General features: G+C 37.2%; 1 long non-coding RNA gene across 1 annotated transcript in view; it reads right to left on the reverse strand.

Moving 5' to 3' along the window:
- Window positions 1-4,675: 4,675 nt before the first annotated feature.
- The window catches only part of LOC107984371 (uncharacterized), a 63,332-nt gene continuing 49,432 nt past the window's right edge, over window positions 4,676-18,575 (reverse strand). The window contains exon 3 of the long non-coding RNA XR_001748074.1: window positions 4,676-4,993. This is a non-coding gene — a long non-coding RNA (uncharacterized LOC107984371). The remainder of the gene's footprint in view (window positions 4,994-18,575) is intronic.

The raw sequence follows: 18,575 nt of genomic DNA on the forward strand, positions 1-18,575 counted from the left end.
ATGTATTGAAAGAGTCCATTGAAGTCCTCCAATGTTTATGCAGCATCACTTACTGATCACCTAGTGTGCACCAAGCATTGTAGAGGATGTTCACAATAGAAGGTAGCATAGCTTACTGTAAATATTACAGGCACTAGAGTAAAATACATAAGAAAGACATCCCAGCTCTGTCACTGGGAATTATATACAAAAGTTATATTGGAAAGCCAAAAATGGAATTTGTTCTCACTATATTAATAATGGATTGTTTACAGATAAGTCAGGCATATTTTTATGTAACTCATTTTATTTATATCTGGCAGGCATTGAAACATTGTGCTCCTAAGAACAGACTTGAGGCTTTTTTTTTTTTTTTTACCTCTGTTGACACAACAAGAAAAGACCAGATTTTTAACCCTGTAAACTGTATGTTAGTAAATAGAAACATAGACCTGACCCTACTACTCCCATTGCCAGGGCAAAGTGTGAACCCTTAGCATAGTGTATAGGGTTTCTTATTATTTGACAGCCATCAATGTATATTGTATTTTCTGCAACCACTATATACCATGAATATAACCTGTCTAATACATAAAAAATTCCATTTTCCCCAGAATGTACCATGTTTTCTTTTACTATCTCTTTACTTCTGTTGTTCACCCTATCTGCAGTGACATAACTCTACCTTGCTTTTTTCCTGACTAGAAGACAACTGTCACACTTCAAAACCAAAGTTAATTTCTACTTTTCCTCCACGAAAATTGTCTAGTCTTCCCCAAATTCAATATTCCCTATTCTGGGCTTCCAAATCATTTTGTGTAGAACTATATAGTAGGCAAAGATTTTCTTTTTGTTATTTGGGTTTTAGAAATAACTACTCTAATTATCATCCTTACTAAACAACCAGCTATTATGTACCTTTGTATACTTATCCATACTTGTTGAACCATTAATAATGTGCCATGTGATTTACTAAGCATGTTACATGCTGAATCTCCAGCCCCTACAGTAATCCAGTGAATTTGGTATCATTTTCCATTTCACAGATGCAACAACTGAAGCTCAAAGGATTGAAATGACCTTTTGGCTTAAAAAACTAACTTTCTGTATTAGTCAGGGTTCCCCAGAGAAACAGAACCAATAGAAATATATAGATATACAAAAAAGGCATTAATTATTAGAGACTGTCTACAAAATTATGGAGACTGAGACGTCTCACAATCTGCAGTCTGGGGTGGTGGTGGGTAGGGGTGGCTTGCGTTGTAAGTTGATCCAGGACCATAGTCCAGGACCATTTATGTCCAGGGATAGGAGAATATGAGATGGTTGTCCCAGCTCAAGAAAAGGGAGGAAAGAGGGTAAATTTGCCCTGCCTCTGCCTTTTTTGTTTTATTCAAGTCCTCAACAAATTAGATGATGCCTCCCCAAATTGGTGAGGAAGATCTTTACTGAGTCCACTGATTCAAATGTTAATGTCTTCTGGAAACAGCCTCAAAGACACACCTAGAGATATTGTTTTAGCAGCTATGTGGTCATCTCTTAGCCCAGCCAAGTAGACACATAAACTTAATCATCACTGTTTCTCAGGTAGAAGGAGATGTTACACAGAGAAAGATTCTTCCAATTAGGGCTTCTTAATCTCTACCAAGCCATCCTCTTTAGTTATAATATTTCTGGTCATATTTCTGACTATCTGATCATATTTCAACATAACATGAGAGACACACTAGGACACAGCATTAGAACACATGATGTAATGTATGCAACAGTGTTTGGATAGTGTTATCTAGTAGGGGAGCTATAAATAATAGTACCTTTTCTTTCTTTGCAGGTGTCCTCCCTGAGCATGAACTGGAATGACCAGTATAGCCTACTTTGGTTATAGGTAACAACAACAGCAACAACAACAAACAACAACAAAAACACACACAGGCCCATATTATATATTCACTACAAAAAGGACCATATTATATATTCATCTACAAAATGTGTGCCCTACACTTGTAGGGACAAAAAATCCCCACCCTACCTGACTCCATCCCTAATTATGAAAAGACATATGCTTCAAGAAACAAGATCTATGGCAAACTTTTTTTTTTTAATCCCTTGGCTACATGACTAAGACCTGTTCACCTTCCTCCTCGATGAGTAGCTTGAAAGGTCCTGGCAAAATCATACAGCCTCCTCTGTTAAGTGGAGCCGACTCCTGAAAGAGCACTCCTTATAAATTGTCTTGTCCATATGTTTCTGGAGGATGTGCCATCTGGGATTAGAGTGCTCATATTTTATGAAGCAGGAAACCAAAAATATGTTCACAATTTAACAGTCTCAATTTGATGAGAAAGTGGAGTTGAATTTACAACAAATTTATACCATCTCAATATGTGAACCCACTGTGTGCCAGACATCATATTAAGCACTCTTTTGAGTGGAAATTAATTAAGAGACAATTGTTTTGGCTTTTGAGAAATGGACAATTCAAAGAAAGACTTAGAGTGAACCTGGCTCTGTTCAACCTGCCAGTAGCATACAAAAAATAAATTTATAACAAAATATCCTAAAAACAGATTTCATCACCCATGCTAGTCCAGTGGATTTGTAGCAGATGTCTGCATCGTTACACTGGAAAAGAATCTGAGGTTTGAGAAAAAGGGGTGTCATTACAACGTCTGCCAAGAGCAGGCACATGTGGTGGCAAATATGCCCTAGTCTTGTCTTCTTCGTTGGAACTGAAAGAAGAAATGGCCATGCTAGAGCATTATTTACAAGTAATGATGCTTACTTCATCCAGCTTTATTAATTTAAAAACATGCGTGAAGAACCAACTAAATGCCAAATACCATAGAGTAAAAATGACCAGGACCCGGTTCTTGCCCTCAGTGTGCTTGTCAGGACTCCCTCCTCTACCCTTTCTTAGCATCTTTACGTATTACATCCTATGGTGGCACTTATAATACTATGTAATTTCTTATTTACTTGGTCATATTATTCTCATTAGTGTGTTCAGACTACAAGTCTCAACCCATTGTTAGATCATTAAATTAAAAGCAGTAGGTTGTGACAGTCATTCTTCTGGTTATAATTAACAGAATGGAATAAAAATAGAATGAAATGGAATAGAAAGTATTAGAGTGCTTCACACATATATGTATTATATTCATGTATGTACATACCTATACATATATATGACTGCATAGGCTGGACTTAATATAAATTGTATTTGTCAAATTGTATCATAATTAGAACACTCGAAAGCCACCAATTTATCTAAAATGTTTAAAACAAGAGTGTAAAATATATTTCAAAAACAGAAGAAATGTGGATTAACAATGATAGTAATAATAAACACATAGAGTGTAAATATGCTATTTAAACATATGTAGTTTAAATATGCTTTTTGTAGGTGTAGCTCTAGAATTTATATCCTTATCCATTAGAGAAAGAGGAACTGACAGCAGCTCTTCCGGTACTACCGATCTGCCTGCATTTCCCCACTACCAGCTCCCACTCTACCTGCATGTACCTCCATCATGTCACTCATTAGAGTGTGTCCAGTTCATTAGCTTGCCTATGTGTCTTGCTATTAGACTGAGGGCACCTGAATGCCAGAGACTGTTTTAACTGTTTTCTAAAATGAGGCAGAAAGCTCTGATCTGAATGTTTGTGTCCCTCCAAAATTTAACCCCTATTATGGTGGTATTAAGAGGTGGGGCATTTTAGTATGTGATTAAATCATGAGGGCTCCACCCTCATAAATGAGATTAATGCCCTTATAAAAGAGGCTTCCGAGAACCACCTGGCCCTTCCACCTCCTCTACCAGGTCAGGACACAGCATTTGTCCCTCTTTGTACTCTTCTGTCATGTGAGAATGCAGCAAGAAAATGTCATCTTGGGAGCAGAGAGCATTCAACAGACATCAAATTTGCTGGCAACTTGATCTTAGATATCTCAGCTTCCAGAACTGTGAGAAATACATTTCTGTTCTTTATAAGTTGCTTAGTCCCAGCTATTTTCTTATAGCAGCACAGACTAAGATTAATAATAATTATTATATAATAGACACATATGTAGGTTTGAGGACATGCTATTCTTTAGTCTGGCTCCAGAATAGATATCTTTATCCATTAAAGAAAGAGGATTGACACCAGTTCTTCTGGGTTGACAGATCTGCCTACTGCTAGATCTGCCTACATTTCCCAACCACCAACTACTTTACCCTGCCTGTGCTGCCAGCACATCGCTCTTCATAGTGTGTCCAGTTTGTCAGTCTGTCTGCACTTCCCCATTAGACTGAGGGCACTTGAAGAGCAGATAATGCCTTGGCCATTTTTGAATGCCCAGAATTTAGCTTAAAGACAGGCATCTGGTAGGTGCTCGCTGAATGTGTGTTGACACACACAGGCCTATAAGAAACATGGTTAAAAAAAAAAAAGAATTTTGCTCTTCTGTCATGCCAAAAGTAACTCAGACAAACCACAGGATGACAGATTGTTTAGAATGTACCAGAATGATTGCATGAACAATAAAACTCCTAGCAGGAGAGTAAGGATAAGAATGGGATTTCTTATGAAATTATTAAATGCTTATTGAGAGTTCACTTAGACTTGCCATAAGTTTCTGAGCAAAATTTTGAAGTGATATTCTACACTGTGCCTAAACTAGACTCTATTTATTGCTGAATATAGAATATCTTATTAGAACAAAAACTAGAAGCTTAACACAAAAAAAGTTATAAGGAATGTAAAATTCAGGTGTTGAGGTAGAAATTAAATGGAGAGAAGTGATCTACCTTAACATATTTCAGAGAAAGAACTGGCATGATGTAATGATGAAGTAGGCAAGGGCTCCCACATGTTTATGACATTACAATAGATTACTTACAGATATCTCCAAAAAGAAGTAATCTTCTCAGGAATGTGGTGACAGTGATGTTGCAGTCAGTATTAGATTTATTGTGGCCAAAATGCCATTGGCGTTCTATAATCCCTGGACTCTGTAGAACTTATAGCCAACCTGGGGAAACAAAATTGAAATGCTGGAGACTATGAGTTCTGATTCTGGCTGAAATCACCATATACATCTCTGGTGCAAACCCCATATGAGCTAAATTCAAGTTCTAAGTTCAAGGCAAATAAAAATTATAAATAAGATGAAAGAATACTGAATTCTGGATAAAATACAAGAAATTAATTCCCAGATTTCACCTAACATAGTCATCTAAATTGCTGCTTTGTATTTTTTTTTACAAGTTCCTTATTTCCCCAATAGTTTATTGGAAAACAGGTGGTGTTTGGTTACATGAGGAAATTCTGTAGTGGTGATTTGTGAGATTTTGGTGCACCCATCACCCGGGCAGTATACACTGCACCAAATTTGTACTCTTTTATCCCTCACTCCCTTCCCACCATTTCTTCCTGAGTCCCCAAAGTCCACTGTGTCATTCTTATTCCTTTTCATCCTCATAGCTTAGCTCCCACTTATGAGTGAGAACATAAAATATTTGGTTTTCCATTCCTGAATTACTTCATTTAGAATAATAGTCTCCAATCTTATCCAGGGCTATGAATGCCATTAATTCATTCCTATTTATGACTGAGTAGTATTCCATCATATATATATGTATGTGTGTGTATATATATATATACACACACACACACACACACAGAGATACATACATACATACATACCACGGATTCTTTATCCACTTGTTGATGAGCATTTGGTCATTTGGGCTGGTTCTACATTTTTACAATTGCAAATTGTGCTGCTATAAACATGCATGCATGTGCATTTGTCAATGACTTTTTAATCTTTTAACTTTTTATTTTTTATTATACTTTAAGTCCTATGTGCACAATATGCAGGTTTGTTACATTTGTATACATGTGCCGTGTTGGTTTGCTGCACCCATTAACTCATCATTTACATTAGGTTTTTCTCCTAATGCTATCCCTCCCCCTGCCCCCCACCCCACGACAGGCCCCTGTGTGTGATGTTCCCCGCCGTGTGTCCAAGTGTTCTCATTGTTCAGTTCACACCTATGAGTGAGAACATACGGTGTTTGGTTTTCTGTCCTTGTGATAGTTTGCTCAGAAAGATGGTTTCCAGCTTCATCCATGTCACTGCAAAGGACATGAACTCATCCTTTTTTATAGATGCATAGTATTGCATGGTATATATGTGCCACATTTTCTTAATCCAGTCTATCCTTGATGGACATTTGGGTTGGTTCCAAGTCTTTGCTATTGTGAATAGTGCTGCAATAAACATATGTGTGCATGTTTCTTTATAGTAGCATGATTTGTAATCCTTTAGGTGTATATCCAGTAATGGGATGGCTGGGTCAAATGGTATTTCTAGTTCTAGATCCTTGAGGGATCTCCACACTCTTTTCCACAATGGCTGAACTAGTTTACACTCTCACCAGCAGTGTAAAAGCATTCCTATTTCTCCACATCATCTCCAGCATCTGTTGTTTCCTGCCTTTTTAATGATCACCATTCTAACTAGTGTAAGATGGTATCTCATTGTGGTTTTGATTTGCATTTCTCTGATGACCAGTGATGATGAGCATTTTTTCATGTGTCTGTGGGCTGCATAAATGTCTTCTTTTGAGAAGTGTCTGTTCACATCCTTTGCCCACTCTTTGATGGGTTGTTTCTTTCTTGTAAATTTGTTTAAGTTCTTTGTAGATTCTGGACATTAGCCCTTTGTCAGATTGCAAAAATTTTCTCCCATTCTGTAGGTTGCCTGTTCACTCTGATGGTAGTTTTTTTTTTTTGCTGTGCAGAAGCTCTTTAGTTTATTTAGATCCAATTTGTCAATTCTAGCTTTTGTTGCCATTGCTTTTGGTGTTTTAGTCATGAAGTCCTTGCCTATGCCTATGGCCTGAATGGTATTGCCTAGGTTTTCTTCCAGGGTTTTTATGGTTTGAGGTCTAACATTTAAGTCTTTAATCCATCTTGAATTTTTGTATAAGGTGTAAGGAAGGGATCCAGTTTCAGCTTTCTACATATGGCTAGCCAGTTTTCCCAGCACCATTTACTAAATAGGGAATCCTTTCCCCATTTCTTGTTTTTGTCAGGTTTGTCAAAGATCAGATGGTTGTAGATGTGTGGTGTTATTTCTGAGGCCTCTATCCTGTTCCATTGGTCTATATCTCTGTTTTGGTACCAGTACCATGCTGTTTTGGTTACTGTGCCTTGTAGTATAGTTTGAAGTCAGGTAGCATGATGCCTCCAGCTTTTTTTTTTTGCTTAGGATTATCTTGGCAATGCGGGCTTGTTTTTTTTTTTTTTTGGTTCCGTATGAACTTTAAAGTAGTTTTTTCAAATTCTGTGAAGAAAGTCATTGATAGCTTGATGGGGATGGCATTGAATCTATAAATTACTTTGGGAAGTATGGCCATTTTCACAATATTGATTCATCCTATTTATGAGCATGGAATATCCTTCCATTTCTTTGTATCATATTTTATTTCATTGAGCAGTGGTTTGTAGTTCTCCTTGAAGAGGTCCTTCACATCCCTTGTAAGTTTGATTCCTAGGTATTTTATTCTCTTTGTAGCAATTGTGAATGGGAGTTCACTCATGATTTGGCTCTCTGTTAATGGTGTATAGGAATGCTTGTGATTTTGTACATTGATTTTGTATCCTGAGACTTTCGCTGAAGTTGCTTATCAGCTTAAGGAGATTTTGGGCTGAGACTATGGGGTTTTCTAATTATACAATCATGTCATCTGCAAACAGGGACAATTTGACTTCCTCTTTTCCTAATTGAATACCCTATATTTCTTTCTCTTGCCTGACTTATCTGGCTAGAACTTCCAACACTATGTTGAATAGGAGTGGTGAGAGTGGTCATCCCTGTCTTGTGCCAGTTTTCAAAGAGAATGCTTCCAGTTTTTGCCCATTCAGTATGTTATTGGCTGTGGGTTTGTCATAAATAGCTCTTATTATTTTGAGATACATTCCATCAATACCTAGATTATTGAGAGTTGTCAGCATGAAGCGCTATTGAATTTTGTCAAAGGCCTTTTCTGCATCTATTGAGATAATCATGGGGTTTTTTTTCTTTGGTTATGTGTATGTGATGGATTATGTTTATTGATTTGTATATGTTGAACCAGCCTTGCATCCCAGGGATGAAGCCAACTTGATCGTGGTGGATAAACTTTTTGATGTGCTGCTGGATTTGGTTTGCCGGTATTTTATTAAGGATTTCTGCATCAATATTCATCAGGGATATTGGTCTAAAATTCTCTTTTTTGTTGTGTCTCTGCCAGACTTTAGTATCAGGATGATGCTGGCCTCATAAAATGAGTTAGAGAGGATTCCCTCTTTTTCTATTGATTGGAATAGTTTCAGAAGGAATGGTACCAGCTCCTCTTTATACCTCTGGTAGAATCCGGCTGTGAATCCATCTGGTTCTGGACTATTTTTTCATTGGTAGGCTATTAATTATTGCCTCAATTTCAGAGCCTGTTATTGGTCTATTCAGAGATTCAACTTCTTCCTGGTTTAGTCTTGGGAGGGTGTATGTGTAGAGGAATTTATCCATTTCTTCAAGATTTTCTAGTTTATTTGTGTAGAGCTGTTTATAGTATTCTCTGATGGTAGTTTGTATTTCTGTGTGATCGGTGGTGATATCCCTTTTATCATTTTTTATTGCATCTATTTGATTCTTCTCTCTTTTCTTCTTTATTATTCTTGCTACTGGTCTATCAATTTTGTTGATCTTTTCAAAAAACAGCTCCTGGATTCATTGATTTTTTGAAGGTTTTTTTGTTTCTCTATCTCTTTCAATTCTGCTCTGATTTTAGTTATTTCTTGCCTTCTACTAGCTTTTGAATGTGTTTGCTCTTGCTTCTCTAGTTCTTTTAACTGTGATGTTAGGGTGTCAATTTTAGTTCTTTTCTGCTTTCTCTTGTGAGCATTTAGTGCTATAAATTTCCCTCTACACACTGCTTTAAAAGTTTCCCAGAGATTCTGCTATGTTGTGTCTTTTTTCTCATTGGTTTCAAACAACATCTTTATTTCTGCCTTCATTTCATTATGTACCCAGTAGTCATTCAGAAACAGGTTGTTCACTTTCCATGTAGTTGTGTGGCTTTGAGTGAGTTTCTTTATCCTGAGTTCTAATTTGATTGCACTGTGGTCTGAGAGGCAGTGTATTGTGATTTCTGTTCTTTTATATTTGCTGAGGAGTGCTTTACTTCCAACTATGTGGTCAATTTTGGAATAAGTGCAATGTGGTGCTGAGAAGAATGTATGTTCTGTTGGTTTGGGGTGGAGAGTTCTGTAGATGTCTATTAGGTCTGCTTGGTGCAGAGCTGACTTCAAGTCCTGGGTATCCTTGTTAAACTTCTGTCTCCTTAATCTGTCTAATATTGACAGTGGGGTGTTAAAGTCTCCCATTATTATTGTGTGGGAGTCTAAGTCTCTTTGTAGGTCTCTCGACTTGCTTTATGAATCTAGGTGCTCCTGTATTGGGTACATATATATTTAGGATAGTTAGCTCTTCTTGTTGAATTGATCCCTTTACCATTATGTAATGGCCTTCTTTTTTCTCTTTTGATCTTTGTTGGTTTAAAGTCTGTTTTATCAGAGACAAGGATTGCAACCCCTGCTTTTTTTTTTGTTTTGTTTTGCTTTCCATTTGCTTGGTAGAACTTCCTCCATCCCTTTATTTTGAGCCTATGTGTGTCTCTGCACGTGAGATGGGTCTCCTGAATACAGTACACTGATGGGTCTTGTCTCTTTATCCAATTTGCCAGTCTGTGTCTTTTAATTGGGGCATTCAGCCCATTTACATTTTAGATTAATACTGTTACATGTGAATTTGATCCTGTCATTATGATGTTAGCTGGTTATTTTGCCCATTAGTTGATGCAGTTTCTTCCTAGCCTCGATGGTCTTTACAATTTGGCATGTTTTTGCAGTGACTGGTACTGGTTGTTCCTTTTCATGTTTAGTGCTTCCTTCAGGAGCTCTTGTAAGGCAGGCCTGGTGGTGACAAAATCTCTTAGCAATTGTTTGTCTGTAAAGTATTTTATTTTTCCTTCACTTATGAAGCTTAGTTTGGCTGGATATGAAATTATGGGTTGAAAATTCTTTTCTTTAAGAATGTTGAATATTGGTCCCCACTCTCTTCTGGCTTCTAGAGTTCCTGCCAACAGATCCGCTGTTAGTCTGATGGGCTTCCCTTTGTGTGTAACCCGACCTTTCTCTCTGGCTGCCCTTAATATTTTTTCCTTCATTTCAACTTTGGTGAATCTGACAATTATGTGTCTTGGAGTTGCTCTTCTCAAGGAGTATCTTTGTGGTGTTCTCTGTATTTCCTGACTTTGAATGTTGGTCTGACATGCTAGGTTGGGGAAGTTCTCCTGGATAATATCCTGCAGAGTGTTTCCCAACTTGGTTCCATTCTCCCCATCACTTTCAGGTACACCAATCAGACGTAGATTTGGTCTTTTCACATAGTCTCATATTTCTTGGAGGCTTTGTTCATTTCTTTTTACTCTTTTTTCTCTAAACTTCTCTTCTCACTTCATTTCATTCATTTGATGTTCAATCACTGATACCTTTTCTTCCAGTTGATCGAATCAGCTACTGAAGCTTGTGCATTCGTCATGCAGTTCTTGTGCCATGGCTTTGAGCTCCATCAGGTCATTTAAGGACTTCTCTACACTGGTTATTCTAGTTAGCCATTCGTCTAATCTTTTTTCAAGGTCTTTAACTTCTTTGCGATGGGTTCAAACTTCCTCCTTTAGCTCGGAGAAGTTTGATCATCTGAAGCCTTCTTCTCTCAAATTGTCAAAGTCATTCTCCATCCAGCTTTGTTCTGTTGCTTTCAAGGAGCTGCATTCCTTTGGAGGGGGAGAGGCACTCTGATTTTTAGCATTTTCAGCTTTTCTGTTCTCTTTTTTCCCCATCTTTGTGGTTTTATCTACCTTTGGCCTTTGATGATGGTGATGTACAGGTGGGGTTTTGGTGTGGATGTCCTTTCTGTTTGTCAGTTTTCCTTCTAACAGTCAGGACCCTCAGCTACAGATCTGTTGGAGTTTGCTAGAGGTCCACTCCAGGCAGACCCTGTTTGCTTGGGTATCACCAGTGGAGGCTGCAGAACAGCAAATATTGCAGAACAGCAAATATTACTGTCTGATCCTTCCTCTGGAAGCATTGTCCCAGAGGGGCACCCACCTGTATGAGGTGTCAGTCAGCCCCTACTGGGAAGTGTCTCCCAGTTAGTCTACATGGGGCTCAGGGACCCACTTGAGTAGGCAGTCTGTCTGTACTCAGAGCTCAAACACCATGCTGGGAGAAACACTGTTTTCTTCAGAGCTGTCAGACAGGGACATTTAAGTCTGCAGAAGTTTCTGCTGCCTTTTGTTCAGCTATACCCTGCCCCCAGAGGTGCGGTCTACAAAGGCAGCAGGTCTTGCAGAGCTGCAGTGGGCTCAACCCAGTTTGAGCTTCCCTGGCCACTTTGTTTACCTACTTAAGCCTCAGCAGTGGTGGATGCCCCTCCCCCTGCCGGGCTGCTGTCTCACAGGTCGATCTCAGACTGCTGTGCTAGCATTGAGCAAGGCTCTGTGGGCATGGGACCAACTGAGCCAGGTGCAGGATATAATCTCCTGGTGTCCCATTTGCTAAGACAGTTGGAAAACTGCAGTATTTGGGCAGGAGTGTCCCAATTGTCCAGTTATAGTCTGTCATGGCTTCCCTTGGCTAGGAAAGGGAAATCCTCTGACCCCATGTGCTTCCCAGGTGAGGCGATGCCCCACCCTGCTTCAGCTCACACTCCATGGGCTGCACCCACTGTCCAACCAGTCCCAGTGAGATGAACCAGGTACCTAAATTGGAAATGCAGAAATCACTGGTCTTCTGCGTCATTCACACTGGGAGCTGCAGACTGGATCTGTTCTTGTTTGCGCATATGACTTATTTTCCTCCAGGTAGATACCCAGTAGTGGGATTGTGGGATCAAATGGTAGTTCTACTTTAGGTCTTTAAGGAATCTCCACACTGTTTTCCATAGTGATTGTACTAGTTTACATTCCCACCAGCAGTGTAGAAGTGTTCCCTGTTCACCACATCCAAGCCAACATCTATTTTTTCTAAATTTTTTGATTATGGCCATTCTTTCAGGAGTAAGGTGGTATCACATTGCGGTTTTGATTTGTAGTTTCTGATCATCAGTGATGCTGAGCAATTTTTCATATGTTTCTTGGCCATTTGTGTATCTTTTGAGAACTGTCTATTCTTGTCCTTAGCCCAGTTTTTGATAGGATTGTTTTTCTTGTAAATTTTTTTGAATGTATTGTTTGTATTTTTAATAATTACAATTATTTCTGTAAACATTATATTAAAATGCAAGAGTACCATGTCACTTCTCTGTACCAACTTATAATGGAATATCACCATCACAAACTGCAGGTAAGGAAGTGTAGACAAACTTGTTGGCATAAGACCTATATTTATGCACTACTTATCATATGCCAAATATTGTATATCACTTTGTATAAGTTATTTTGCCCATATAATTATGCACCTTACAGGTGGGTTACAGAGAGCTGAAGAAATCTGCCTAAGGGTACAAACAAAAAAATCAACAAAGGCCAGACTGAAAGTCAGATCCAAAGTATATCAGTCAAATCCAAAGTATATTGACGCTTTTTCCACTACATCACACTGCTTGGAACATTCTTATGTTATTTTGTTAATACACCCAACTTTTATCAGCTTATTATTAATAACTTCTTTTACAGACAAGAAAGCAGAGGCACAGAGAGAAGAAATGATTCCTCTAAGATTATACCACTACAAAGAAGTAGAACAGATTTAAATACAGATGTTTGACTCCAAAAACTGATGCCCTTAAAACTACTGAAGTTATTCACTATTGGTACAATTTATTTAGAGCATCATCCTTAGCAAATTTGAGACTATATGACTTGACCAATTCATGTAACCTCTGACTGTTCATTTCCTCCCCTTCCCTACTTTTTAAATCAGGCTATTGGTAAGATTATGAGAAAGAAAGTATGAAAATTTGCTTATAAATAGAGAAGCAGTGTATGTAGCTATATGTTGGAGTTGCTCTACTTTAAACAAACACACGCAGAGTGGTTCAAGAGGTAAGTGTTGTGTCATTATTTAAGGCTTAATTTTGTTTAGCATTATCTTGATATGAGCTTTTTATAAAACTTACTAAATTATTCTCTACCTGTGTCTATCTCCTTTATAAAACATCTTTATTCAAAGTTTGCCAATTAATAAAATTTGGGGAGGGAACACAGTCTAACAAGTAAAAAAATGAAACACATTTTTTTTAAGAAATGTAATTTTCTTGCTACTCCACATATTGAAAGTAAACTATTGATAAGTTAAACTCCAGTCTGGACTCTTTTAATTTATAGGACACGTCGCCTGGTGTTACTAATCCTTATCTGGAAAGAAGCAGTTTATACAATCTCGTTTTTGAAATGCATAAAATGCTATGCAAGGTTTGCTTCATTATTATACCATATAAAATGCTGAAGTATATATTTTCCTCATATTTAATGTATAGGTAACTTTCACAACAGATTGGGCCCAAAATTGCAAATTATATATTAGTAGCCTCTGAATTAATTAGGTTTAGATGTCTGTGTTTTATAAAGGTAAAGACTGAGGTAACACTCTGAAGAAGAGAGGTCATTAAATTATTGCTTTCTTCTTAACTAATAAAGACAGTAAATTTCTTTCAATATTTTCTGGTTATATGACAAAGATGCAAGTATTTTATTTAAAAAGAAACTTTCTTTGCTTTCTTAGATCCTTATACTATGCCCAGTGAAAGTTGTTGAGTAGGCACCAACCACCAATCCCATTTTTCCAACTAGCGAGTTGGAATCTCGCACTGATCTTTTGTAAGGTGGCTTCCATTTGCTCCCCACTCACTGTTGTGGAAAACTTCCTCTTCCCTCAACAACGGCCTCTCTCAGAGGCTATTCCAAATTAGAGTATGGTATTTTGTAAGGTGGATTCAATGAACGGGGCTTGTGATGCTCTCCCAATTCTTAAAATAGATAGCTTTTAAAAAGTCATTTTCTGGAGGCCAAAGCTATAGGATTAATCTCTCCTGAAATCCATAAGAAGTAGAATCAGAAACATATCAATTTAGGAAGTAACACTTCTTTGTCCATAATACAAACTTCACAACATATACAAAATTTTTAAGTAAAATCAGAAAACTTTCTTTCCTTGCTCCTCAAACACTAATATTGAATGCCTATACCCACTCTCCCATTACTCGGTAGGCATTTTTATTTAAGCAGAGGTACAGAGAAAATCAAGTTTCCAAATAGGTTCAGGAGTCATTTCATTAATAAAAATCAAGGACCCAAAATAATTGTTCTCTAATGTCTTTTGTTTTGTTTTGTTTTGTTTTTGTTTTTGTTTTTGTAACAGGCAACAGTCTATTTTAAAATAAATAAAATCAAACATATTTTTAGAACACTTACTTTTCACAACAGTTTTTGGATATGTCTAATTTAATCTTCTCAATAACCATGTAAAAATAAGACATAGTTATTACCCTCATTTTTCAGATACAGCAGGATAAATAATGGGTCACAGTCACAGAGTCAGGAAGTGGTAGAGCCACTAGATAGAAGCTGCCTTTAAAGTTCTAGATTCAGGATTGTGGCCACTTACGCTAATTAAAAAATCACTTACTACTCTGGGATTCGGTGCAGTTCAAATATGGAGAAAAAGAAACAAAAACAAGATAAATACCTCTGGGAGGGAGCAATATTTTCCTACCCCAGGGCAATGGCAGGCCTTCATTAAATTCTCTCATGTGTCTGTGCTTGGACAGCTAAGACGATCCCACAAATTCTGCCTCCTAGGGCAAAGAGAATAAGCCTGCAGGATGCAGTATTGATAGCAGAGACCTGAAACTTCTATACTAGAGGGAAATATGGGTTAAAGCATTAAGGGCTATGTAAAGATCAAGAAGTCTGATATCTATTCTTCTGATATATTGAAAGTAAGGTGACCTCCACCAAACCCTATATCAGAAATAAATGTAAGTACAGTTGGGTAGAAATGGATATACACATTTATTAAGGACTGCCTAAACTATATTAGTGATAAGACTGTAATAGCACTCTTCTTAAATTTGGAGGCTAGGATAGGGACCTTATAAAAATATATATATTGGAAGACATACAACTTTTCTTTAGAAAACTGTACACATGCATTTTAACAAACACTATTTCCTAGAGTCCTGAAGTATTTATAGATTTTCCTCTGTCAACTTAAATATATCCATGGACTACACAAACTTGAAATTAGGAGCCACTGACCTATAGTCTGATAATCAATGAATCTAAGCTAGGTCCTCAGAACAAGAAGGCAGACATTTAGGCAGCATGATGTTAAAACCATAAGCCAATTAATTTAATTTCATTAAAAATCAGTTAATTCAGTGAGGGAAAAAGATCTACAGTTTATTTGGTTAAAAAAAATCAACATTTAAATTTGTTCATGTCTCTAGCCATAGTTTTATCCCTTTTTCTTCATTTTCCTCATAGTCAATTGGTCAGAAGTTAAACGACTACACTTATATTTAACCTGTTTCCTGCCCTATCTTACCCAGTACACTATACTTCTTGAACTACTAGAGACTGAATCAAAGGCAGGACAGAGAACAGTAACACAGGAGATTCTGTGACATCAAATGGTTTCACAAATAAATCACTCACGTTAATGGACTAACAGAGTTCTATCTTTGCTCACAATTTAAACCTCTCTGTATCTAGAGCAGTAGCTGCTACTTCAGTGTGTATTCAATAACTGTCAATGAACACCATGTTGGCTCCAAGATTCCTCCAAAAGGTGGGCACTTTCAGGATCCTCCTTTGCTGATTGCTTCAACATAGCTCCAGGGTGTAGCAAAATATGTCTTTGCAATTTGCATTTCTCTAATTAGTGAGTTTTCACATTTAGCTACCTCAATAGCAACCAGCTGCCACTTGTGTTTCCTGTATGTATGACACCTCATGACACCACCGAGTCTTCTCTCTGAATCCTCAATTAGCGAAAAAGCCTGCATCTTTGTTAGCCTGTGGGGGGATAGATATGCATATCTTCTTTTTTTGCTTTCCCTTAGATAAACTTGGAATTAATTTCCAAAGTGGGAAAAGAAAAAAAAAAAAGACATATGAGAACTGTTATTTCCTAATTCCTCCAACCCAAGATGGAAGGAATCAGGTAGTCCAATGTGGTGTGCTGAAGATATTTTGGATAAAAAGCAGAAATGAATAGAACCAGGAATAGCTTTAAAATGAATCATCAGTAGAGAGCATGAGGGTATTGCTGTAAACTTTGGTAAATACAAAGCATGTGTTTTGGTCAAGGCCAGTATCACTTTGTCTCACTCTGATTTTCTCCCAAAATGCAAAAAAAAAAAAAAAAAAAAAAAAAGTGATTATCTTGCAATTATGGTGAAAAACATCAGGGAATAATACCTATGTAGATCACGAAAAAACCATGAGTGATGATGTATTCCTCACGCCTGACTTTCTTATACTCTAGCATGACATTTCAGATCAAAATCTAAAGTTTTTATAAGTAGTGCATATACTGCTGGATTCAATTTTACTCAGCTGGGTACAATGACTTCAGATACAAATAAGCAAGCACTGGGAAAAGCTTCCGATGGCTGTTAAATTAAATCTAAATTTAATTCATTTAATTAAAGGAAGTATCATATGGAAACACCATCTTTGTTTCCCCTACCATGAAAAACCAGTGACATCATGAATATTAACAATGCCAGGGGCTTAAGATATTATTTTATATATTATTTATTATAGTTCTTATATTATGGAAACAGTGTCTAAGTCAAATAACTTGATTTTTGAAATGACAGATTATATAAGAAGCAAATGTGATGTAAACATCATCCAGCCTCCATTCAACAAGTTTTAGTATTTAGTATGTACACAGTACTATGCTACATGCTGAAGAAATAGAAATAAGACATAGAACTTCACAAAGAGTTTAAGGGAGGAGACAGACTTGTAACAAAGAATTAGCAAAAGTCTACAAGATTATTATTTATTTCAATGTTATAGACAAGAAAAGTGGAGTTTGAGAGGTCACACAACAGGAGAGTAAACATTCAGATTTGTCTTACTTCAGAATCTTTTTTTTTTAACCTGTTCTTTAGAAGTGCAGGAGTTTTATGATAAAATGTTTGAGAAAAAAAGACAGAGAGAGAGAACATGTAGGGTGTGTGTGTGTGTGTGTGTGTGTGTGTGTGGTGTGTGTCTGATGAGCAGCAGTGGGAGGGAATTACAGAATTACAGCATTTTAAACCAGCTTTTCATAATCCCACTATAGTGAGCTTTCCAATAACCTCTATTAGAAAGTAAATACCGGAAGCAAGCATTTGCTCCACCAACACTGACCTCTAACCAGAACCATTTGCAAAGGTACAAATAAAATCATATAAGTCAGTGCTCATTACCTTGAGCATGATTGTGTGTATGTGTGTGTGAGGGGGTGTGTGTGTGAGGGGGTGTGCGTGTGTATGTACGTGCCTGAGCATGCATGTGTATGAGAAGTTTTTATTGATCCTATATAGGCTACAAACAGGCAAAGAACTCATCTGTTAAAAGCTTTTAAAAGCTTGTTCTATCTCATCTCACCTAGCTGTTCATCCTAAGAACTACAATTTTGACAGGAGAATATAAGCAGCCATTAGCAGCACAGCCTATCCTTTTATAATTTGGGGTATGTACCATTCTGGGATGGTCAGAGACATTCTGCAGTTTCAACTGATGTTGTAGAATGAACTCTGTTCATGAGTAGAGAGATGTCATTTTTATAAACCCAGAATGGTGGGAAGAGTGTGGTGGGCTAACCAGAGAATTGGATATGTAATGGGATGGATATTTAGTAAGGGTAGGACTTGTCCCTACAGAGACAGTCCAAATTATATTTCTTTATCCAAAGTAGGGAGCTATTCATAATCAAGGAGAATAATCTAAATTCAGCCATAACATTTTAAGGAAGTAAACTGATATGTTAACTGTCTATGATATTTTTCTCAACAGGGTATCTGACTTGAGGATTTTTCAAGCTCCTATAGCACATAGTTTCACTTAATAATGAGAATTGAAACAAAAATGTTTAATAATATTTTAATTTACATGTTTTTGAAGTTGTCATTTTCCAAGGATCTCTGTGATCATGAATTTTGGGGAGATGCTATTCAATCCAGACAGTATACCCTCTGCACCCCATCAATTCATCCACATCCCATCTGTAAAATACATTAATCCCATCCCAACATACTCAGTTAAACCCACTAAAACATTAACTCTAAGTCCAAAATCTCAATTATCAACTCAGAGTTTCAAAATCTCATCTAAGTCATCCAACACATGTAGGGATGAAACCCTGGGTCTGATCTACCCTGGGATAAAATTTTTCTCTACCTGTGGACCTGTGAAATTGAAAAACAAGTTCTCTATTTCCAAAATACAGTGGTGGAAGAGACATGGATGCCATTTACATAATAAAAGCAAGAAAATAAAAGG

This window comes from Homo sapiens, chromosome 11 (assembly GCF_000001405.40).
Source record: "Homo sapiens chromosome 11, GRCh38.p14 Primary Assembly".
NCBI classification, from domain to species: domain Eukaryota; kingdom Metazoa; phylum Chordata; class Mammalia; order Primates; family Hominidae; genus Homo; species Homo sapiens.